This window comes from Homo sapiens, chromosome 1 (assembly GCF_000001405.40).
Source record: "Homo sapiens chromosome 1, GRCh38.p14 Primary Assembly".
Classification (NCBI taxonomy): Eukaryota; Metazoa; Chordata; class Mammalia; order Primates; family Hominidae; genus Homo; species Homo sapiens.
The window spans coordinates 154,831,135-154,855,772 of record NC_000001.11 but is presented as its reverse complement, the minus strand read 5'-3'; the positions used below and the strand labels follow the sequence as shown (position 1 = coordinate 154,855,772).

General features: G+C 51.2%; 1 protein-coding gene across 5 annotated transcripts in view, besides 4 other annotated features; it reads left to right on the top strand.

Annotated features, from left to right (window-relative positions):
- Nucleotides 1–24,638, top strand: part of KCNN3 (potassium calcium-activated channel subfamily N member 3) — a 172,827-nt gene that overhangs the window by 14,509 nt on the left and 133,680 nt on the right. The window lies entirely within an intron of this gene.
- Nucleotides 9,929–9,988: an enhancer, noted in NCBI's record as "active region_1785". NCBI's record gives its function as "activates an Ori minimal core promoter by ATAC-STARR-seq in GM12878 lymphoblastoid cells {active_cell/tissue: GM12878}" and the evidence as "EXISTENCE:reporter gene assay evidence [ECO:0000049][PMID:35858748]".
- Nucleotides 10,309–10,368: an enhancer, noted in NCBI's record as "active region_1784". NCBI's record gives its function as "activates an Ori minimal core promoter by ATAC-STARR-seq in GM12878 lymphoblastoid cells {active_cell/tissue: GM12878}" and the evidence as "EXISTENCE:reporter gene assay evidence [ECO:0000049][PMID:35858748]".
- Nucleotides 14,895–15,396: an enhancer, noted in NCBI's record as "H3K4me1 hESC enhancer chr1:154812853-154813354 (GRCh37/hg19 assembly coordinates)". NCBI's record gives its function as "activates a minimal SCP1, AML or CMV promoter by ChIP-STARR-seq in naive and primed H9 embryonic stem cells {active_cell/tissue: H9 hESC(naive and primed)}" and the evidence as "EXISTENCE:reporter gene assay evidence [ECO:0000049][PMID:30033119]".
- Nucleotides 14,946–15,240: an enhancer, noted in NCBI's record as "tiled region #6464; HepG2 Activating non-DNase unmatched - State 21:Repr, and K562 Activating non-DNase unmatched - State 21:Repr". NCBI's record gives its function as "activates a minimal TATA promoter and a strong SV40 promoter by Sharpr-MPRA in HepG2 and K562 cells {active_cell/tissue: HepG2 | K562}" and the evidence as "EXISTENCE:reporter gene assay evidence [ECO:0000049][PMID:27701403]".

The window sequence follows — 24,638 nt, the reverse complement described above, 5'->3', positions numbered from 1 at the left end:
TTTGACAAAGTTATTGAATGCCTGTTATGTGCCAGTGTATTGTTCTAGGCATCACAGATATACAGTCATGCGTTGCAACGACGGGGACGCAGTCTAAGAAATGTGTCATTAGGCAATTTCATCATTGTGTGAGCATCATGCAGTGCACTTACACAGACTAGGTGGCATGGCCTTCTGCACACGAGGCTGTATGGTGTAGCCTACTGCTCCCAGGCCTGTATTGAATACTGTAGGCAATCATAACACAATGGCAAGTATGTATCTAAACATAGAAAAGGTACAGTAGAAATACTGTACAATGGATACAAAATACTACACCTGTATAGGGCACTTACCATGAATGGAGCTTGCAGGACTGGAGGTTGCTGTGGGTGAGTCAGTGAGTGAGTGGAGAGTGAATGTGAGGGCCTAGGACATGACTGTAGACTAGTGTAGGCTTTGTAAACACTGTTCACTTAGGCTAACTACATTTATTTAAAATATTTTTTTCTTCAATAACAAGTTAACCTTACCTTACTATAATTTTATTTATTTATTTATTTATTTATTTATTTTGAGACAGAGTCTCACTCTGTAGCCCAGGCTGGAGTGCAGTGGCACGATCTCGGCTCACTGCAACTTCAACCTCCCAGGTTCAAAGAATTCTCCTGCCTCAGCCTCCTGAGTACCTGGGATTATAGGCACGTGCCATCACACCCGGCTAATTTTTGTATTTTTAGTAGAGACAAAGTTTCTCCATGTAGGCTAGGCTAGTCTCAAACTCCTGACCTCAAGTGATCCACCCGCCTTGGCCTCTCAAAGTGCTGGGATGACAGGCATGAGCCACTGCGCTTGGCCAAATTTTTCACTTTATAAGCTTTTTATACTCTTTTGTAATAACACAAACACATTATACAATTGCACGAAAGTATTTTCTTTATATTCTTACTCTATAAGTTTTTTTCCATTTTAGAAATATTTATTTAAAAAGATGCATTTTTACTTACAAAATCTTTTTTGGTTAAAAACTGAGACACAAACACACGTTAGCCTGGGCTGACACAGGTTCAGGATCATCAAGATGTCACGAAGTGATAGGAATTTTTCAGCTCCATTATAATTGTACAGGACCTTGACTGAAATGTCATTATGGGACACATGACTGTAGTAGAAAAAACCCACAAAAGAGAAAAATCTTTGCTGTCACGAATTTACATTTTAATAGATAAGCCTGATAGTAAACTATCTAAGTTAATTATATATTATGTTCGATGGTGATAAGTGCTATGATGAGTGTTATGAAGAGCCTCTTCCCTCCAAGATACAACTTCTTACTCCATTGACAAGTCTTAGATCCCAATCTGTTAAGGCCCCAACTAATTTTACAGCCAGAGTTAGATAACAGGAAAAAGACATCTCTTTTCCTTTCATCATTGTCATCATCAATAACAATCACAATTGTTAGGACCACTCTGGATGGGAGTGCAGGGGCTTCTGAGAGGAGAGTGGTCATATTATTTTATTTATTTTCAAATTAATTTATTATTATTATTATTTTTGAGATGGAGTCTTGCTCTGTCGCCCAGGCTGGAGTTCAGTGGCCCAATCTCGGCTCACTGCAAGCTCCGCCTCCCGGGTTCACGCTATCCTCCTGCCTCAGCCTCCCGAGTAGCTGGGACCACAGGTGCCTGCCACAACACCTGGCTAATTTTTTGTATTTTTAGTAGAGACGGGGTTTCACCATATTAGCCAGGATGGTCTTGATCTCCTGACCTCATGATCTGCCTGCCTTGGCCTCCCGAGATGCTGGGATTATAGGCATAAGCCACCGCGCCCAGCTTTTTTTTTGTGAGACGGAGTCTCACTCTGTCACCCAGACTGGAGTGCAGTGGCGTGATCTCGGCTCACTGCAACTTCCGCCTCCCAGATTCAAGTGATTCTCCTGCCTCAGCCTCCTGAGTAGCTGGGATTGCAGGCACATACCACCATGCCCAGTTAATTTTTGTATTTTTAGTAGATACTGGGTTTCATCATGTTGGTCAGGCTGGTCTTGAACCCCTGACCTCAAGTGATCTGCCTGCCTTGCCCTCCCAAAGTGCTGGGATTACAGGCATGAGCCACCATGCCCGGCTGAGAGTGGTCATTTTAAATAAATGCTCAGAGCTAGGTGCAGTGGCTAATGCCTGTAATTCTAGCACTTTGAGAGGCCGAGGCAGGAGGATCGCTTGAGCTCAGGAGTTTGAGACCAGCCTAGGCCATATAGTGAGACGCCTTCTAAACAAAACAAAAAATTAGCTGGGCATGGTGGTGCGTGCCTGTGGTCCCAGCTACTTGGGAGTCTGAGGTGGGAGGATCGCTTGAGCCCAGGAGGTCAAAGCTGTAGTGAGCTGTGATCGTGCCACTGCACTCCAGCCTGGGGAATAGAGTGAGACCTGGTCTCAAACAAAAACAAAAACAAAAACAGAAAACAAAAACCACAAATAAAACAAATAAAGAAGTGCTTAGGGCCAGGCATGGTAGCTCACGCCTATTATCCTGGCACTTTGGGAGGCCAAGGCAAGAGGCTTGCTTGAAGCCAGGAGTTTGAGACCAGCCAGGACAGCATGGCAAGACTCTCATCTTTACAGAAAAAAAAAAAAAGCTGAGTACATTGGTGTGCACCTGTAGTCCTAGCTACTTGGGTGGCTGGGGTGGGAAGATCCCGTAAGCCCAGGAATTCGAGGATGCAGTGAGCTGTGATTACGCCACTGTGCTCCAGCCTGGGTGACATGTGAAACCCTGTCTCTAAAAATAAACACATAAATAAATAAATTAAATAAGTGCTCAGGGAAGGCCTTACCAAAAAGGTGATGTCTATTGGAGGATCTGAAGTGGTGAGGGATCCAGCCACCTGGGGGAAGAGGAATAGCAAGGTGAAGGCCCTGAGGGGGGATCATGCCTGGTGTGTTGTAGACAGCACTGTCCGGTGGACACGAAATGGGAGCTACCGCTGTCATTTTAAATTCCTGAGTAGCCATATTAAAAATAGTGAAAAGAGAAAAGTAGAATTATACATGTTAATAATATTTTTAATTTAACCCAACATAGCCAGAATATTATTATTTGAATGTGCAAGCAATACAAAAAATTATTGAGATCTTTTACACTTTATTTTTTGTACTAAGTCTTTGAAATCTGGTGTGTCTCTGACACAGCATATCTCAATCAGACATTAAGTTTTCATTGGAGATACTTGATCTGTATTTAGAGTTTATAAAATTTACAATTAAAAGAACAGACTTGCTGGGCATGGTGGCTGACACCTGTAATCCCAGCACTTTGGGAGGCAGAGGCAGGTGGATTGCTTAAGGCCAGGAGTTCGAGTCCAGCCTGGGTAATGTAACACAGTGAGACTCTATCTCTCTAAAAAAAAAAAAAAAAAAAATTAGCTGGGTGTGTGGCATATGCCTGTGGTTCTAGCTACTTGGGAGGTTGAGGTGGGGGATAGCTTGCTGTTGAGGCTGTGGTGAGCCATGCGTGTGCCTCTGCACTCCAGCCTGGGCAGCAGAGCAAGACCCTGACTCCCCGTCCGAGAAAAAAAAAAGAATAGATTCACACACTCAAGTTGTTGAAAACGTACTTAAAATTTTTCCAATAAAAGAGTGGAGTGTCTTTTTATATTTAATTTTAAATGAAATGGACTTAAAATCCAGTTGCACTGGTCATGTTGCAGGGGCTCAGTGGACACACGTGGCTCGTGTCCTCACACTGGACGGTGCAGGCCTGGGAGCAGAGAGGATGCCTGTGAGGCTGATTCAGTGAGTGGAGGGATCATGTGGGCGGGGTTGTGAGGTCACAGGGGAGGCGGGTCTGGCTCTGCAGGGATTTGTAGACCGTCCTGAGGAGTGTGGCCTTTACCCTGGGTGAGATGGGAGCAAGAGGAGGGCTTGGAGTAGAGAAGTGACAAGATCTGACTTACATTTTAATGGGACCACTCTGACTGCAGTGTTTGGAACAGACAGGGAGGGTCAAGCCAGGGTCAGGGAGCCCCGCTGAGAGGCTGTGGGGACAGCTCAGGTGAGGGTGGTGATGGTTTGGACCTGGGTGGTAGCATTGAGTTGGTAAAAAGTGGCTGGACCCTTGGGCTATTTAAAAGGAGGGCATTCCTGATGAATTGGACAAAAGGTCATGGTGTGCAGGTCAGGCAGTGGTGAGAGAAAGGGGAAGTCAAGGATGAGGCTGAGACTTTTGGCCCAAGCAACTGGAAGGATGGAATTTCTGTTAATTGAATGGAGAAGACTGTGGGAGAAGCAGTTTTTTGGGGGAAGACAGGGAGTTTGTGGTTGGACTCGTTAAGTTTGAGGTGTATCAATTTCCATATAATGCGTGTAGCACCTGCCCCAGGGGTTGTAAGAGGTCACAGGATGGTGCTTGAGGCCGTGGCAAGCTTCTGCCTGGGCTCCTGACCCAGAACAGATGGCTCCTCTCACCTTCCAGAGGTCTGTTCGAGGCATGGCTGGCAACGTTAAAAAAAATTTGGCCGGGCACGGTGGCTCACGCCTGTAATCCCAGCACTTTGGGAGGCCGAGGCGGGTGGATCACGAAGTCAGGAGTTTGAGACCAACCTGGCCAACATGGTGAAACCCCGTCTCTACAAAAAATACAAAAATTAGCCGGGCATGGTGGTGCACGCCTGTAGTCCCAGCTACTCGGGAGGCTGAGGCAGGAGAATCGCTTGAACCCGGGAAGGCGGAGGTTGTGGTGAGCCGAGATAGTGCCATTGCACTCCAGCCTGGGTGACAGAGCGAGACTCTGCCTCAAACAAAGCAAACAAACAAACAAACAAAAATCAGCTAAGTTATCCATGCCTCCAGCACCGTGGGTGTTGACTCCCTGAAGGTCACTGGAAGTTGCTAGGGTCTTTCTGAGTCAATCCACATTTCAAGGTCAAATCTCCCTGCTCTGGGCTGATGAATAAAATGTGTCATAAATGCTCAGAAGCTCCCCCAGTGTGGCCTGGAAGCCTGATTTTATGGAAACTTACTGAAATGATACAAAACGCTAAAGATATGCATTCCTAATTTTCTAGCACTTTCAACTCCACAGGGATGTTGGGGGAAGGGATTAATGAGCTTGGAGAGGTGGAATAACCTCCTCAAGGTCTCCCAGCTGGGGGAAGGTAAGCACTGGATGTTGGGAATCACCAGCCTCATGTGCACCAACCATGTCGCCAAATGTCCAAAGCCTGCAGAGGGCCCAGGGCTCTCACGGACCACACAGGGAAGCCACTGCACCTGTTCTTTTTAAGACTGGGAGGAGAGTGGGGAAAGGCAGCAGGTATGGCTTTTGAGGTCCTCTCCTAGCCCAGCTGGTGTCTGATGCTGGCACCCGGGCTTGGAGGGTGAGAGTCTTGGGACCTGTAGACCAAGGCCACCTCACTTGGGCAGCCCAGGCCTGCTGGACATGGGCCTTCTGACTTAGTTTCAAAGCTGGACCCTGACCCTTGTTGGTTGCAGGACTTCAGTGATTTAATCTTTGAGTTTATCTGTTTCATTGGGGTGATGGTGCCTGCCTTGGAGGAGTTTTGTGAAGTGATGTTAATGAAGGAGCTTAGGCCGGTGACTTGACACATGCCCAACATAAGGAATGCCTGTGGGGCCGCCTGGCTCTGCCCCTAGAGTGGAGGGAGATGGTGCAGAGGGAACAGTAGAACTGGTATGGGCTGCGGATGCCTGGCGAGTGGCATGAGTAGGGGAGAAAGAAGCGCCTGCCAGAATGGGAGTGAGGGAGAACAGTGGGGGGTCCCCTCCCTTACCACAAGACCTGGGATCTAACTGTGCCTTTAGATCAGAGCTTCTCAACTGGGGCACTTTTGCTCCTCAGGGGACTTTTAGCAATGCCTGGAGACATTTTTGGTTGTCACAGTCAGGAGAGGGATATTATAGTCCTTTAATGTGGAGAGGCCAGGGATGCCCCCTACAACAAAGAATTACCCAGCCCACAATGTCAGTGGTACTGAGGCTGAGAAACCCTGCTTTCGATGACTCATTCTCACCAGCTTGTTATGAGGATGAATGCGAAAATGGAGCCTGCATTTCTAACTGCAGCCTGCCCTTCCAGGTCCTCTCGTTCCCTCACCCTTTCCCAAGGGGGCTGCCTCTGTCATCAAGCAGCCTGGTCCAGGAGTCAGCAGACCTGAATTCAAGTCCTGACTCCTCATGCCTCAGTGAAGTTTTTCCTTAGTTTCTAGTCTCCATGTCTTTTCATCCTTGGAAATCTTGTCTTGAGTGGGGCAGTGGTGTCTACACAGTAATGGGGCTGTGGTGTGGACTGAGTGGGAACCCGGATGGGAAGCATGCTTAGTCAGCTGTGATGTGCCGGCAAAGGGAGGCAGCAGGCCAATCCGCTTTCTAGTCCAGCACTGAATAATAGCCTTGGGGGGCATTGCCCAGGAACCCCCATTGGCCCCTGCGAGGCCACATGGCTGTTCTCCCAGGCCTGCTCCATCTTGCTTCTTGCTTGTGTTTCCTTGAACAGGTGGAGCTAGTCTCCATTTGGGGAAGATGGAATTTGCAGGAAAATGCAGGGCTATTATTTCTGTGCTGTGTGAGTGGGAGACAGAGCTGGTTGAGTGGCAGATTTCCTGGCAGGGGGAGAAACAGCTAAGTGTGCCAGCCCAGGCATCGCTAGAATCCTCTTGAGGTGAGTGGGCCAGGATTCCCCAGTGGCCACCTCGGGAAGCAAACATTTGTTCTGAGCTCAGGACCAGCCCCAGGAAAAGATGGGGTTTGCTGTCGGGGAAAGGTCTGTACCAATATATTGAAGCTCTGAGAACATTCTACTCGGCAAACTTTCACTGATGCCCATTCTGTGGCAGGCACTGGCCCCGGGGACGTTGGGGGACACAGAGATGGATGAGGCTGAGGGGGTGTTCGGGCTGCCGTAACTCTGAGGCAAGGCAGACTGTGCTAAGTGCGGTAGAGAGGCTCTGCATCCCGTTAAGGGCCTGCCGCGGATATTAATGTTTGGAGGCTTCTTAGAAGAAGTAGGGGTTGAGCTGGGTTTTGAAGGAAGGTAGGGCTTCATGAGGCAAAAGGGAATGCGTGTTCTGAGCCGAGGCAACAGTAGGGGCAGAGGCTCAAAGTTGGAGAGTGCCCTGTGTTCTTAGGGAGGGCTGGAGAGGTAGGTTTTCCTAGAAGTTCTGGGAAGAGAAGACTGGAGAGGGACATGGAGCCCCCTGCCCGTGAAGCTGGTGGAGTAGTGGGGGCTTCACGAACTAGGCTGATGAATTTGCACTTTTGTCTAAAGGCACAGGGAACAGTGGAAGGTATGTGAGCAGGGCAGTGGTGTGCTCCAGCCACAGCATGGAGGATGGGTTATAGAGAGAGGAAGCTGGAAGCAGTGTTACTGCGATAGTTGTGAAAAGGAGGAATGAAGGCTTGAACCCAGCTCGGGGCAGTGGGAAGGGAAGATATGGGGGGAGGTCTGGGGAGGCAGGCAGCTTGTCAGGCTTCACCTTTCTCCATCCTGGGTATCTGAGTTGTGTGTGAGGCTCGAAGTGACTGTCGTGGCCCACTCGCCACATTGCTCTGCTCAAAGCCCAGCCTTTTCTTGGAGAATGACAAGCAGCGAGCATCAGGCAGCCTTCTGGTCCCAGAGAACAGGATGGCACGGTGCCCACACCAGCCGGCACCAGCCACTCTGGCTGGGGAGGGGGGGAGGCCTCCTTCTGGAACTCATCAGCGCTGGCTTCTGGCCAGGCCCAAAGGAGGTGGAATACACCCTCTTCCTGCTCGTTTTCAGAGATTTGGGAGGAGTAGGTATGGAGGACAGCAGCAGCGTGCTGGAGCCGGCTACTCTCGGGTTCGTGTCGGAGCTGGGGGAGTGACTGGCTGTGCAGTTGGGCAAGTTGCCTGGTCTCCCTGAACTTCAGTGTCTGTGTTTGTAAAGTGGGCATTATGATGCTTGGCCCACGGGTGGCTGTAAGGGCATCACACAGGTGTAATTACGCAGGTGTCATGTTCTTAGCTCAATAAATGGCCTCTGTTTTTAATTGTCAAGATATGATGATGGACTTGACTTGATGGGTGGGGAGAGGCAAGACCTCCTTGCCTTTAAAGGAGTTGAAGACTTGGGAAGCAGTTGGAATGGTGAATTCTATCTTGGGCGTGTTGGCTTTGAGGGGCTGGGGAAAATCCTAGGATATTCAGAAGAAATCTAGGGACTTCTAATCATGTGGTTCACATAAATGACCCTTACTATAATATCTATCTCAGAGTCAACTTTTCAAGACACCAGCCTCCCTGCAGGCAACCCCAGTGTGGCATCAGGAGAGCGGGGTCTTGGGTCAGCATGGCCAGCCCAGCCTCTGGCTTTGCTTGTGTCATTGGTGACTCCCCGTGGTCCTCGGTGCCTTCCTCCGTGATGGCATTTCCCATTGGCTGGCTGGGCCTCTGCCCAGGGATCCAGCTGGGTGCCGGCCCAGCTCAGGCTCCAGAGAGGAAAGAGCCCTGGATCTGGGGCCAGTGACCTGATATTCACGCTGGCTCTGCCCCTTCCCTCTCGGTGTGGCCTGGAGAGATGTGCAGGCTCCCCGAGGGCAGGGGGGGGTAGTGAGGAGGGTTCCAGGAGATGAGGGATGTGAAAGCAGCAGCACGTGCCTGGCACACAGGGGCCCTGGTAGATGCTTGGCGGACAAGTGAGGGCAGGCAGGGGAGGGGGCAGACAGGATTCAGGGAGGCAGGCCTGGGAGGAGCCCAGGGCTCAGGGAGGGGGGTGAGGGGTCAGGCGGAGCCGGCTCAACTCCTGGCTCTGCCGCTTACTAGCAGGAAGACTCCGAGTCCGGTGCCTGCTTTGGTCACATCCATGTGTGGGTGGTGGTGATGGGAGGTTGGCCTTGGGGGCCGCTCTAATGCCTACCTCACAACATAGTGATAGGTCTAGATGGATACACAGCACCAGGGCCTGAGAGTGCTGAATAAACCTTCATTCCTCCTCTAGTAAGCACAGTAAATCCCTAGAGGGCAGTCCCCAAAGGCCTTGATTACCCCAACTGTGGAGTACAGCGAGAAGTGGAGCTTCTGGAGCCAGTGCTTTCTCTGCTCAATTTTGTGTATTCTTTCACTCGTTCATCTGAAATCTGACCCAGCCCCATGGAAACTGGCTGCAGACACCCAATGGCAGTAGGGTACCAAGGGGCAGGGGAGCAATCGGCTCCCGGTGCAGACAATGAGGGGTACACTGTCTGTAGAGGATATAGAAAAATAAATAAAGCCAACAAAAAGTCTGGTTTTTGTTATTGCTGTGTACCGGCACTTCTAAACAAGGTCAGTGATAAAACACTCCTCCTCCCGGGGGGCAGACGCTCCTGGCTCCCCCTCAGTATGCTGCTGCCTAATCGTCCTCCAGAAAGGAGCCTCGGGGGCTGTAAATATCAGGAAGGAACTCAGCAAGGCCTGGCAGAAGAAGCCAGCGATGATTTGGAGAATAAGCCCATTGATGATTGCAATAGCAGCATGGATTTGGGGCTCAGGAGACCAGGAAGGGGAGGGTGCCACACTGTGAAGTAAGGGTAAGGCAAGAGAGTGGAGGTAACTGCTGTGGGTTCTGGCTGGGAGAGGCATCGTCTAGGCCCTTTAGACGTGGTCAGGAAGAGGGTGTACTTCATCTCCCTTGGGCCTGGCAGGAAGCCAGCGCTGATGGGTTCCAGAAGGAAAGCCCCCCAGCCAGGGCAGCCGCTGCCAGCTGGTGTTGGCTGGTGTGGGTGCTGTGCCACCCCACTGTTTTGGACCGGCAGGCTGCTTGCCATCTTCCAAAGGGGACTGGCCTCTTGACAAGGGTAGGAAAGGAGCCAGGGCTGCCCTATGGGCTTGGGGGCTGGTAGGGCGTTGGGGAAGGCAGGATTCACATTTCTCTAGCCTGGACAACAAGCATGTGCGTGAGGATCAAAATGAGCACTTTTAGGGTTTTATTACTATTATTTACTAAACAAGTTTCCTTGCAGGGTTGTGGAAGGGGCCCATGCAGAAGGATCTGTCTAGAGGAGGAGGCTCCGCATGTGTACAAGGGAAGGACGTGTGCCCTTGGGACTGGCTGGGGCACGGCCCTAGGGAAGTGTGTGTGTGTGTTTGCGGGGGTGGTCTGGTCATGTGGCCCCTTCCCTGACTGAACCCCTTGCAGGGCCCCATGCCACACAGCAATGCTGCGTCCGTTGCAGAAGCAGACACCTTTGGCTCCTGCTGTGTGGGAAGCAGGTGTGCATTAGTCAAGGTGGCCTCAGTGGTCCTGGGTAGTGGGGCCCCCGCAGTGAGAAAAGCAGAGACCTCTTGGGCCCGGGGGTGTAGGAGTCACTCTCCCTGATCTGCTCCCAAATGCAGGTGCATCTGGTTCCATTTGGAGCCGGTGAGCTGGCTGATGGTGGCTGTCTGGGGCTCCTGGGGCTGAGCAGCCAGGCTAAGCTTAGCCCACAGGCACTTCCCAGAAACTGGTGGCACTGTCACAGTGTTGGCTGGATGCTGAGGAGTTGGCAGGATACAGTGCAGGAACAGCAAATAGGTTTTATCTGGGTGTCAAGTTGAAACAATTGGTACCAGCTTCCAGGAGGGCTGTGTTGGGAAGGATTCTGAGGTGTTGTCTGAGCTCAATGGGAAGAGTGCCCTGATTGATTCATGAGGTCTATCTTGGGCAGGGGAAATGGAAGAGTGGCAAGGGGTTTGCCATCCCTGGTGTAGTGGAAAAAATACAGAGAGCCTAGATTTGATCTTAGGTGAGTGGCCCCAGTTTTTTTTCTCTCTCTTTTTTTTGTTTTTTGAGACGGGGTCTGGCTGTGTTGCCTAGGCTGGAGGGCAGTGGCACAATTTCAGTTCACTGCAACCTCCACCTCCTGGGCTCAAGCCATCTTCCCACCTCAGCTTCCCAAGTAGCTGAGACTACAGGTGCCCGCCACCATGCCCAGCTAATTTTTGTGTTTTTAGTAGAGGCGGGGTTTCACTATGTTGGTCAGGCTGGTCTTGAACTCCTGACCTCAGGTGATCCACCCGCCTCAGCCTCCCAAAGTGCTGGGATTACAGGCATGAGCCACTGCAACTGGCCCCCTAGTTTCCTCATGTCTAAAATGAGGGTAAAAATGTGGCCCTTCCAACCCGATAGCCTTATTGTGGGCGCTGAGTAAGATAGCAGAGCGAAAGCCCTTTGTAAAATATAAAAAAGCGATACAAACCCAGAGTGGGGGTTTTGTTGTTACTGAGTCTCCCAGGAACCTGGAGTGACTTCCCAATAATAACGTCTGCCCCACTGGGGACTACTCCATGGTCTGAGTGCCTGAGAGGCCTGACAGGATGTGTGACCGGCGCGATGCCCGGCACCCAGGCCTTTGACACCAAGTGTCAACGAGGTGTTTGGTCATGTTTCCAACTCTAAGTCACTTCATTTCTGTCTGACTCTCTCCCTGGCTTAAGATTTAGAGACTGTTTTCATGTCTAATGAAAGAAGGACAGAAAATCTCTCTCTAGAACCTTGTCTCTTACTCTCCATTAAAGGTAGCAAAATTGCTTTATAAAGTCTAAAAGCCTGACAAGAACGCGTACTAATAATGCATGAATTATGCAAATCTGTGTAGTCACTTGATTTGCATAATGGAGGGGCTGGAGGAGGGTTGGGGAGGGGAAGGAGTGAGGGTGAGGGCGTCTGCCCAGATCTGTGTGTAACGGGGGACATTCATTTGCTCCCTTGGGTGGAGTCCCCTTCTGCAAGCCCCTGCTGGTCCCGAGGGTGTGTTCTTTGGCCTTCCCCTGCTGGCCTGGTGTCTGCCCTTTGTGGCCTGGCTGTGCAGCCCCCCCTCCTACTTTCGGGGCAGTCACCGAGGCAGGGGCACCGCACCCTGTGCTGGACTCTTGTGTAGAACTGGCTTCATTAAATCTCACAGCCGCCCCTCCATGTCCAGACAGCCTTCCCTGAAAGTCCCCTGGGTCATTATTTCTCCAAACGTCTGTCTTGCTGAGGCATTGGACTTCGTTAAGTGCCGTCTGGAATTGTAACTATTGCCAAGTGCCTTTTTCTTGGGTTCTGTGGGAAGCAAGGGTGAGAAGGAGTCTCCGGGAGAGAACTCCCCACCTACCCCGCCTGGTTTCTCTCTCAGCGTTTCTCACTGTTGCTTTAAAAGGTTTCAGCCTCTGCTGTAAGGGGCCTCTTGCTTTTCTCTCCCAGCCTCCCTGCATACTCGCTAACCTTGGGACTTCAGATTTGATGAGGGGCCGGGCGCAGTGGCTCACACTTGTAATCCCTGCACTTTGGGAGGCCGAGGTGGGAGACTTGCTTGAGGCCAGGACAACATAGCCAGACCCCATCTCTATTAAAAAAAATATTTGATGAGGGCTGAGGCTGGGACTGAGGATACTTGAGGCTTGAGCTCAGTGGGTGCTGCCTGGAAGCCCGGGGATGTGGGCTCTCAAGCTGAAGGGACGCTGGGAACCAGCTGTGGAGAGCCAGGCAGCTGGCTTTTTTGTCTAGAACCTGGATGGGGCAGCTTCTTGTTCTGGGGAGGGGAACTGTTCTGCAGGGTGGATGGATGCAGGGAGCCAGCCCTGGTTGGGAGGTGGGAGGGGCAGGGACCATATCTAGCTCCTGGAGAGGCCAAGCAGACCGTCAAGGCTACAAACAGGCTGGGGTTCAGCTTATTTCAACATACTTCTTCAGCATCTATGTCTATGGGCTGGGCTTGTGCTAGGCCCTAGGTGTCAGAGATATGAAGGCACTCATAGCTGTCATTTATTGAGCTCCTATTATAAGTGTCAGGTCCTTCGCTAAGCCACTTATTTACACGTGTCATCTCATGTAATGTGTATGACAACTTTATGAGGTCACTACTCTTACTGCCCCATTTTATAGATGAGTAAGTTGAGGCTTGGTCACATGGCGAGGAAGTGGCAAAGTGGGGCTCTAAGTGAGGTCTTCGGACTCCAAAGCCCCTTCTGCAGACCGTGATGCTTTGCTGCCTCTGTTGAGTCAAACCGGACTCTTCCCTTGAGGCCCTGATGGTAACAGCAGTGTAAACAGATGGTGAGCACAGTGTAGTGTAATATATGCAAGGGGAGAGGTTGGAACCAGGCACAGAAGTAGCACTGAGCATTTAATTATGTCAGGGAGGGCCGGGGAAAGCTCACAGAGGAGGTGGTGGCGGGGGGGGGGTCCCTGAATGAGCCACAGGAGGGAAACCAGATTCTGTCTGGCACTTAGGGAAGCAGCCAGTGGAGGCTGCAGGTCAGTGGGCTGGGGTGAGGGGTAGGGGCTTTAAATCCCAGTTGCTTATAGCCCCCTTCTGCCCCACTTTTGGGGTGCGACCAGGTGATGTGAAGCTCAGGAGGTCATGGCTGGGACACTCAGGAAGGTCAAGTGTGGGGTGCTGCCCCAGGGCCCCTCTCCTCGGCCTGTATGTTCAATAGGTGCACTGGCCTCCCTGTCTTGGCCAGACAGCTCTGAGAGCCAGGGCTCTGTGGGTGCCTGAACTGTGTGTGGACCCTGCCTGGGATGAGGCCACAGCTGCTCCCACACCCGCACCTGCTCACACCCAAGAAGGGGGCCGCCATGATCACTGTGGAGGCCAGGGTGGGAGAACCCTCTGGACCATAGGGTCCCACCCCATTGCAGGGCAAAGAGGGGATCTGAGGCCCAGTGACTGGAAGTGATTTGCTGCAAGTCACACAGGCAGCAAGAAGTGGGTCAATCCCCCAAGGTTCTGGTTTGGAGCACTCCCGGGGGTCTCCCCTCACCCCTTACCCTGGGCTCGCCCTCTCCAGGCTGTGTGCCATCCTCACCACCTCTGTCGTGCCCTCGCTCACCCACGTGGCTACACTCTCGCGTGCGTTTCCTTCACACCTGGCCATCCTCTTAGGCCAGGCCAAGGCTTTGCTCTGGAGAGAACTTAAATGGCATTGTCAGATGAGGAAGGAGCAGAACCTGCCGATCCCATGACCTCCCAATAGGCCATCTGCACACACTCAGCCCGCTCTCCCCAGCCCTGCACAGCCCCTTCGGCTCGCACATCTCATCCTTACTCCTGCTAGCAAGCAAAGATGTCTGCAGGTGCTCTCATTCGGGGATGGGGATGTAGTAGGGAGACAATACCTGGTAGATAGAGCTGAACAACTTTCTGCAGAAAGTTTGGAGTGAGGGGGGCTCTGTGATGGAATAACAGGCATGAACCAGAAGCCTAATTCTATTGCTTAGAAGCTGTGTGGCTTTAGGCAAGCGACTTAACCTCTCTGAGTTTCAATCTCCTTATTAATAAAACAGGTACGAACAGTGCCTTGCTCAGTGGTCCCCTAACTTGGCTTCATTTTGGAATCCCCTGGGGATCTTTAAAAAAATGCTGATGCCTGGCTCCCAGCTTCTGACCTGATGTCACTGCCCTGAGGTGCAACCTGGGTGTGGGGATTTTAAAAAGCTCCCTGGGTGATACTAATGTGCCGCAAAGTTTGGGAACCACTGTCCCAGGGTTTGTTGGGGATTAAAGGAAGAATGCAGACACGTGGAGAGCGCTTACTAAATGGAGGTGATTATTTCAGTGTTCATCTCCCTGCCTCTCACTCCATTTAATGTGGAGTCTGTGGGACTGAGGTTTTTATTTTTATACCACAGTGGGTTTGCCAGAGTGCTGACCTAAGGGGGCTGTCAGCGGCCCATCTTTACCCGGAAAAGACCCTCCCTTGCGCCCTCACCATCTCTGCAGCCCTAGGGCAGGCCTCAGTCTTTCTGACAGGCCCCAGGGTCCTGATTAGGTCGGGGCCTGACCCCGCAGGGGCAGGCCTGCCCCTGGTCTCCACCTGGTGGCTTTGGGAATGGAAATGCTGGTTCCCACAAAGGCTTCTGGGAGACAGAAGCCTAAGATGGCAGGGTGCGGTGCACACACTCAGTCTGGATTCGGTGGCCTGACCTGGGGGATCCGGGGAGGGCGTTGGTGGGGGCAGAGGCGTGGGAGGGGCTGCTTCTTTGGAGCTCTCCACTCTGCTCCCTGGTACTGTCTGAGGCCCTGCAAACCTGAGCAGAGGCTGTGAGGGAAGACACATTTCTCCAGATTCCTCAGCTGTCCTGACAGGAAGTTGTGCATCACTGGGCTGACAGGAAGGAAATGGCTCTGCTGTTTGGAAAGAAATAGAGAATTCTGACTGGGGCTGAGGGAAAAGGTGTCTGCTTGGAGAAGCCGTTTTGTCCCGATATGAGGACTCTTTGTCTCTGCAGGCAGTTGCTCCCTGTTTATTTTCCTTTGAATGACAAGGATTGGCTTCAGTTAATGAGGAGCGGTGAGAGGAAAGTGAGAAGCGGCTTGTGAGATTTTGGGACACGGAAGCCTTCGCAGGAAACCTGGCCCTCTGCTTGTAATAAGCATCTTTCTTTCCCAGCTCCCTGCTTCGGGGACTGTGAGGTGACAAAGGATTTTGTGATCTCACACGCCGCTTTTTCTCCATCCACCAACCATACCTTTGCAAATGCTTTGATTTCTATTTCTTTTTACCACCCCAAAAACACAGTGGATCTTTTAATAGCACAAGGCCTTTTGAATCTCTAACCAATCAGTCTCCAAATCCTATCCAAAGTGCACTTAGAATAGACACTTTTAATAAAATATATTGCTTTTAAGCCAGTGTAAACCTGTGAAATTTGTACATTTCTTTTAGAGCATCTCTACAAATTTTACATTATTGAAATCACCACCCAGTGACCTTTTAGGAAATACTAGATAAATTGCAAGAGACAAATAGACAAACCAAATGGAGTAAGTACAATTTCCAGTGCCTTTCCTGCTAGGTTCCCAGTCTGAGTCTTAGAAATCCCTGACTCCCTGTGCCCCTCCCCCCAGCTCTGTGACCTAGCCCCTGCTCTGCAGGCCTCTCTGCCCACCCTGCCCCTGGCAAGGAGCTAGCAGCTGGGGTGTCATCTGAGAGCCATTTGCAGCTCTGAGAAGCAGCTCTGGTATGTGGCTCCTGGCACCTTGTCCCGTCTGTGTTTGTCTCTGCGCTCCATCATTCAAAACACTTCCACCAGTGGCCAGTGGCCAGGGCCCCCAGAAGGGCTCTTGGGGGTGGCTGAGGACTGCTTTAGAAAGGCTCAGATGCTCTGTGGCCGAGTCTGCCCCAGGCGAGGTCCTCAGCCTTGTCGAGTGAGAGCTGAGCGGGGGTCTGAGTCCAGCAACCCTCACTCACTGTGGAGCACTCTCTGTGCCTGGGCCAAACCTTCGTCAGCCAGGTGTGGATTATCCACTTTGTGGATTGCCTGTAGTGTCTTTTCCAAACCCAGGTCACGTTCGTCCCTGCTGCTGTCTCACTGCATGGGGACCTTTCCTCCCTATCAGCTGGTGGTGCTTAGGGGATGTAAATCAGGTGTCGTATCTTGTTTGTATTTTGTACAGGGAAAACAGAATTTGGAAGACAGATGGTCTCTAAAATCACATTACCAGAGCCTCCAAAGGGTCTCCTGGAGGCTCAGTGCTCCTTTGGGCTATGGGATCTGTTCCCCTTCTGGTGTAGGTACGCAGAGCCTTGGAGCAGTGATGGGGGTGGAGGGAGCACAACTGCGCCCTGCTTCCTGAGGTCTGCAGATCGCAGGTCACTCGATGGTGGTGGGCACGTGGTTATGCACTCATTTCATGGATAAGTGAACTCAGTCACCATCTCAGCTGCTTTGCCATCGCTACACAGCGACCTGTGTCAGCACCACAACTGGGGGTGTTACTTGGGTCCCCTGTATCTCAGTTGCTGTTTTTCCCATGGAGTGACCCGACTGCCCTCCAACATGGGGAGGGAGGGAGAGCAGAAGGCAGATCAGCGGTTAGAGATGTCCTGAGTGGCACTGGCCCTTCTGTAGGTAAAGTAGCTTCGGGAGAAACAAGGTACTGTCAAAGCTGCCCAGGCTTCATTCACTCCTTAATTTGATAATTAATTCCACAAACATTAATGGAGTTTTTCTCACATTCCAGGCACTGTGCAAGGTGCTGGGGGTGGGGGAGAAACAGAAAGATGACAAAGACTTGGTTCCCACACTCAAAGAGCTCACAGCCTGGTAAGCAGATGCTCAACGCACTTAGAATTGTCTCCCGAAGAGGCCTGAAGGGACAGGGTGGAGGAAGCGCAGAGGCGGAGGCAGCTCTGGAGGGTAGGGTGGTGGGAGTGGCGAGAACGGAGCCGGTCCTGAAGGTTGACTGGGAACGGGAAAGGCTAAGGCAGGGAGGTTGTTCCCGGCCCAGCAAGCACATGGAAAGGTTGAGGGAAACGAAAGCTTAGTGCATTTTGAAGGAGTGTGAGCAACTCGGTATGGCTAGAATTTATGGTGTGAGTATGAGATATGGGGCTGTAGAGGCAGGCAGGGGTCAGATCATGCCTTGCTTAGGGGGTCTGCCTTCATCCCAGAGGCTGTGGGGAGCCGCAGAAGGGATTTAAGGAGTGGGATGGCACGATTTGTGTCTTAAATTACTTGCTATGGAATCTACATGGTATAGCAGAAGGAGCCCGGGAGTAGGGGAAGGAGCTAGGCTCTAGCTCTAAATTCTAGATCTGGATCTAGCAGCTGGGTGACTTTGGCCAAGTCGAGGCCTCAGGGTCCTGACCTGTAAGATGCAAAGACTCTAAGGTCTGTCTTAGCCCTGACGTTCTCCACACCCGTGGCCGCCTTCCTGTTTGGCCCCCACACTCTCTGTTCTGTACTTGTCCATCCACCTCTGGCCGCCTGACCCCTGTCAGCTGGCTGTCCCACCGTGGTCAGCAGCTGGTGGCAGCTGGAGGGAGAGGGGTGAGTCCTCCAGGAAGCATGTGCACTCCTGCCCTCGTAATTCAGGCCTGCCTGGCTTCTCCTCTTCCAGCCCTGCGAGAGCGCCTTCCTCCCCGCTGACCTCAGCACACCTGGCTCCCCACGGCACACAGCCCTGGCTGGGCCCAGCTGTGTCTCTTCAGTGAGACAGTTCACCCCCTTGGGCCAAAATCCCCACCCACCTGGCCCCCACGTGACAAGAGGCAGCTGCTTCGGGGTTGCCACCTGGTAGCCCGTGACATCTGTGAGATGTCTGTGCATTTGGCTGGTGTGAGCTTTTTCCTTTGCTCTGACCCAAGCTTTGATAGCTCAGTGTGTCATCACCGGCAGTGGATGCCTGGGAGCCCCAGACTGGCTCTTCCTGCCCAGGGACCCCCAGACCCACTTCTGCAGGACGCCTTGAAACAGCTGTGGGTGGAAAGCCAGGTTTTCCCCCATAAGCATCACTCGTTCTGCTGCCTTCCTAGCTTCTGTGCTCTCGGGCCCAGAGCTCCTCCAGGGTGAGGAACCAGGAGGAGGAGTTGGCTGGGTTGGCTGTTTTCCTAGGTCTTTGATCACAGCTGTTACATGTAGATAGGCTGGGCGCGGTGGCTCATGCCTGTAATCCCAGCACATTGGGAGGCCGAGGCGGGTGGATTACGAGCTCAGGAGATCGAGACCATCCTGGCCAACATGGTCAAACTCTGTTTCTACTAAAATGCAAAAAAAAGAAAAACACAAAAAATGAAAAACAAACAAACAAACAAAAAACTAGCCGGGCATGGTGGTGGCGTGCGCCTGTAATCCCAGCTATTCAGGAGGCTGAGGCAGGGGAATTGCTTGAATCTGGGAGGCAGAGATTGCAGTGAGCTGAGATTGTGCCACTGCACTCCAGCCCAGCAACAGAGCAAGACTCTGTCTCAAAAAAAAAAAAAGGCTTAAACAATGGGTTCTAAGCAAATAAGTATCTGTTTAGTCAGTGGAACGAGGAAACAAAAGTTGATGGAGTTCTCCCCACAATTGGAAGTGTTGTTCCCCACCTAGATGATGGGGCCTGCAGGGAAGTGATTTTGCACGATTCTCCTCTTCTTGGGAACAGGCCATAGGGTAGCATCCCTTCATTCATTCATCAAGTATTTATTGAGTGCCTACTGTGTGCCAAGTCCTCTGTGAGGTGATGGAGCAGAGAGACAGAAAGGACCCCGACTGTGCCATGAAGCAGCCCTGAGCCTGGAGGGGCCACTCAGAGGGAGCCCAGGGGCGGCGGCTCTCGGGCTCCAGCCGAGTTTCCTTCAGACCTAGCCCCTTTAGCTGACAATCTTAAAGCCTGGTCCCGGAAAACAGGAATAGTGCGAGAGGGATGAAATGTGGGTGAGGAGAGTGAGACAAGGGTGGAGGTAAGAAAGAGGGATGGAAGAAAAGACGCAGCAAACTTTCCCGTGAGAGAAACGCTCCAGACAGCACCCCAGTTCCCAGCTGAGACTCCCAGCCACAGTCAGCAAGAACCCACAGGAGGGGAGGCCCACGTCCCTGCTCAGCTCTGCCCTGGCAAGTGGGGTCGGAGATGGGGCATTCCCTGCTTGGGGTCTCAGTCTCTCCATCTGTAAAACGAGGCTTTGGACTAGGGGAGCTCAGAGATCTGTTTAGAACTAATATTCTGTAACCGGTGCAGGGCAAAATAGACGGGGGGCAGGAGCCCAAATTAAGGCCAGTCGAGTATCAGGTGGGGTGTTCCTCTGGCTCCTCCTATTACAACAGCAAGAGGGACCCAGGGGTACTGTGGGAGTCCTACCATCTCCTCACTTGTACGAGGTACCTTCTGGCTGCTCTTCCGGCTGCTCAACACTCAAAGAAGGAAGGTGCTGGGTGTCCTTGTTTGCATATTTTTCTGGCACGGACACATTCTTCTTGGAGTTTCTTGACATTAGGGCCACTTGAAATGCTCAAGGTAAGGGCTGCTCTGCCTGGCAGACATGCGTCAGGTGCCTTTGGCTCCTCCCTGGCAAGTCTGCCTCCAGACGCCCTCAGATCCTGTCCCCATGCCTGGCCATGGGGCTATCTGACCACTGATGCCAGAGGGTCACACTCATCAGTCTATACAGAAGACTTGGAAATGTTTTGGCAACCCTGTGTTAGAAGAGTGGGGTTTCCTAACTGTATGGCTTTGGGTAATTGCTTAAATCCTCCCAGCCTTAGTTTTTCCATCTGTGGGTTAGGAGTGGTCCTCTCTACCTCCCAGCATCAAATAGGAAACTGTGCAAGAAAATGCTTTGTAAACAGGAAAGCCCTAAACTGACATCCAGGACACAGTGACTCAGTAGCAAATATATTCTGATATTCAGCCTTTTCCATGGTTACAGCCTCCTCTGTGCCAAGAAATTCAAGTCACCAAGGGTTAAAGCAAGCAAGGCACATGGCCGTGATTGTCCATAATTGATGAAATAAACCTTAAAGGAGTGACATATAATTAATTGCAATTAATCCAGGCACTGTGACACCACCTTGCTAAAAATACTGTCTACTAACAATTGCTTTGATCCAGCAGAATGATGTCTGCCCATGAGCCTGGCAAAGTGTCTGCTAATGGAGTGCACATAGTGGGTGTGGAAGCTGGCAGGTGTGGGGGCAGAGGGCGGGAAGGGGGCCCCAATTCTCTCAGACCCTTTGGCAGCAAATACTACATATATAGGGTGATCATATGATTCATTGTCTAAACTGGGACACTTTTGAGATTATTATATTAATGATTACCATTCATAGTAATAATTATGCCAGATAACAGGCATACACTGGACTCTCCTGGGTAAACCCGAATGTATCGCCACCCTCTGCATAGGCTGTTTTAAGCCCGTGGGAACCCTCGACTGGGAGAGTATTTTCACGTTCATTATCTGCTCTTCCTCACAACAACCCTGGAAGGAAGAAAGGATTTTTTAGTCTCATTGAATAGATGTTAAAGATGGTGATGGTGTCAAACGGTCCAGCTCTAGTCTTTGGCCTGGCTTCCTCGGTGGCTGACCCCATGCAGGTAGAGGACAGCTGGTCAGGACCGGGAGTTCTGGGGATGTGGAAACAAGTGCAGCTCAGGGGGAAAGAAGTAGCAAATCTGGCTTCAGTGGAGCAGGAACAAGCGACCTCCTCCGTGAAGAGCTCAGGGTGTAGGTCTCAGCCGGGACTGTGCTGCGGTCCTTACCAATCCTGGGCTTGGAATCAGAAGCTGTGTGTTTCAAGTCTGGCTCCCACAGTTCAGCTGTGTGATCTTGGCAAATTGTATAATCATTCCGTGCCTCAGTTTCTCATTTGTCAAGTGGGGACAGTTCCTTCCTGTGAGGATTAAGTGAGAGTTTATATGAAGATGGATGGGTAGACTCAGAGCCTGTCATATAACAGGTACTCAGTAAGTCCTTGTAGAGTTTGAATCTGTGGAGAGTTCCTAGAGGCAACACCTGTAGGGGAACCATGGAGATCCTTCTGCCTTGAAATGGCTCTAACTTGAATCAATTAGTGTGGAATGAGCTCCCGCCTTGAGATGGGGCTGCCTCATGTTCTTGGAGAAAGAAATGGAGGAAATAACCACATGGAGGAATTGGGAGGTTCCCTGACCCCCCCTAGACCATGGATAGTCTACTTGGGAGACTCTACTGCATGCCCCGTGATAGGCAGGACCAGCACCCAAGGAGTCTTTGCATCTTGCAGTTTCCTTGAAGCCCTGTACAGGCTGGTGGCCCACGTTGGTGTGTGGCTTCCAGCCTTCCTCCAGGCTCTCAGATGAACATGCTTGGACATGGGCAGGCAGTGGGGCTCGTGTCGTGCCCCATTGCTGGAATTCATGGCACCTCAAAGTAAAAGGTAGGCAGGTTGGCAGCAGTCTGGTGCCAGAGAGCTAGTGAGAGAGAGAAAGAATTATACAAGTGCCATGTTTGGTCTATTAATAGCCTGTGTTTGGTCTCCACCACTTCTATCAACATCGTCCATCACATCCAAACAATTGAAAAACCTGTGCCAAATGTTAGGAAACTCACGGCTGTGCTGTTTCTGAAAAACAGCATTTCTACTTCTTATGCCGCACTGAGATGCCAATAGTTCCATGCCAACTGGTTTTTATTTTTCCAGACCATTTCCCTTTATTTATGTTTAAGCTTTTGTATTGTTAAGCCAAAAGAAGATAGAGAACCTGGAGTAGGTAATTATTGTTTCTCCTGATTTGTCCTTGAATGAGGCATGGAGGAAATGTTCACTCCCCAAACCTGAATTGAGTAGCTGCAGAGGGGTGGAGAGAGGACTAAGACAGGGGCCTGTCCCTTTCAGACAGTGTTCAAGCTGGTGGATGGGCAGAGTGAGGATGTGGCAGAACACCAGCCCCACCCTTGGAAGGCTTAGGGCATTATCAGCCCTTTCTGTTACTGGTGTGTGGCCTTGGGTAGGCCAGAGTCCCTCTCTGGGCCTTAATTTGCTTGCCTATAGAATCGGGGAGTCAGACTTGATGGCTTAGAAGGCCTCTTCCAGCTAAGTCGAGTGTTGGGTGGAGGACTCACTGTCTCACGTTTGTTGGCAAGGCCGTGGGTGTGGAAATGGAAGGAAGGTGATGCTGCCCTCAGAATGCTGGCAACTCCGGGAAGCCTGGAAGCATGGCTGGGAAACACGGACGAGGCTGTTCTTTATCTGGGAAACTCCAGAACAGCCTCCAGAGATGTCTGTGGAGCCTGCAGGCGGTTGTTTTTCTCACCATATGTGATTTCTGGGTGTCTTAAAAATTTTCATTTGGCCCAAACATTGCCGGGGTTGGGGGATGATTTTGCCCAGTGTGGGGATGGAAATGGGTTTGCCTCTGAGCATCAGGTGGGTAGTAGTGGTTTTCTCCATTTTGGAATTCTCTGACGAAGTTGGAAGGTTCAGCTGGGGCCCTAGTGTTGCAGCAGCTTCTGGTGCAGACAGAGGCAAGGGCTGGAGGGAGGAAAGGGGGAAGGCCAATTGGAGGGGTGATAAGGCTGAGAGACCCAGGGTGGGGAGTTGTCTGTAGGCCTTGCTTTGTGTCTTTAAAACCCACATACCTCTCTGTGGCTATCAGGTGATGAAAATCAACATTATTTCAAGTTATAGCCATCTGAAATGAATGTAGCCAGTTCCCTGTAATTAGCTGACCACAGCTCCTGCAGAGAATCTGGGAATCTGTTGTGCGTCTTGTCAGCGATGGCTGGGGCAGGATGGGGAAAGGGAAGCCCAGGCCTGGGACAAGCCCAGCTAGGCTGGTTTGGTTCTAGTCAGCAACCCAGTCTAACAGGGAGCCCACAGCTTTCTGTAGAGCAAAGTGATTTCCTGCTGTTTTATTCATTTGGGAGCCAGATAGGTTTTACTAAGAGAAAGCAAAACTACTTCAAAGCAAGCCATCCAGAAAGCACAATTATTTGTTTCAAATATTCTAGAACATTTAAGAAAATGGGGGTTCCTGCAATCTGGATGAAATATGGGGGCCAGATCCTTGGCAGGTGGAGCAGTAAATATTTGCTAGGTGAACCCCTCATGGTGATGGCAAATTGACCAGCGTTCTGGGAGGCGCTAGGAGGGTGAATAAAGGTTAAGTGTTTCACTGTAACTCTGTACACCCTGGATGCCAGGACAGATCTGGGGGCTGGGACTAGGAACCTTCAGTATGCTATACAGTTCTCCTGAGATAAAGGTATGGTGTCAGGACCTTCAGAACCTGATGCATAGTGGCAGGTACGCATTCATCAAAGCCAGAGGAGGCTGTAGGGACTTCTTGACACCACAAGAGTAATGTAATTGCTAACTGGCCAAGAGCACTCACATTCCACAAGCAGAGGAGGCTAAAAGCTCATCAGGAGCCCATTTTTTTATTGGAGAAGGAAACAGTGACTAAGTGACAGTCTTGGAGGTGACTTCCAGGATAGGGATACAGGCTTTTGGAGAACAGATGAATTCAGGGACCGGTTGTTATATTTCCGTTAGTATGAAAAGCAGGGTGGGCCGGGCTGCCTGCCCCTGTAAGCATAGGCCGGGAGCCCCAACACCTGGGTTCTAAAGTTTTCTCCAAGCCAGGATGCTGTATGATGGGGGCAAGGCAGCCTCAGTGTCATCGTGGAGAATGAGGGTTGGGGAACTAGCTGATCTCCTGGTGTTCTGTACGTTAATGAGTGTGTGTCCCAGGGAGAGGCTCACTTGTCAAAGTCATTGACATAGACACCGGGATGCTAAAGTCAGAGCAGGTCTTCACAGAGGCATTTGTTTCACTGGGACCAAGCACTGCAGGCAGATCTTTGAAAAAGAGCCATCCAAAATAGAGTCTCTCCAGGGCTACATTGAGAGGAAGTGAGTTTCCAACCCCTGGAGAAAATCAAGCAGAGACTGGATGGCCATGTGCCAGAAATCTTAGGAGACTCATGGGGCACTGAACTAGATGGCTTCTAAGCTCCATTGCTTGTGTGTATGACTGTCTGTTTCACAGTGTCTCAGAGCTGTGAGGGCAACCCCAGCCTCCTGGCTTCTTTCTTTGTGCCCCAGAACAGCAATTCTCATTTCTGGCCCGCACATTAGATTCACTGAGATCTTTTTTTAAAAGTTAGTGCAGAGACCTCACTTGCAGAGATTCCAATTTAATTGCTCTGGGGTGGTGCCAAGCCCCTCAGTTCTACAAGGACCCGGGCTATTGGTGCTTGATGGGCTTCCATCCCACCTCCATCCTCCCTGTAGGGGTGGGGAGTTACAAACCCTTCTGCTCCCATTCTGCCTTTGTATGGAGCCCAAAGGTTTAAGTCTGTATTTACCGTTCCATATTCATTTACCCAAGAAACACTTGTTAAGTGCTTGCTTTGTGTCTGCAAGAATCCTAGGTGGGCCAGCTTTTGGCTACCTTAGGAGCAGCAAGGACCAAACTGCCTTTAAAAAGG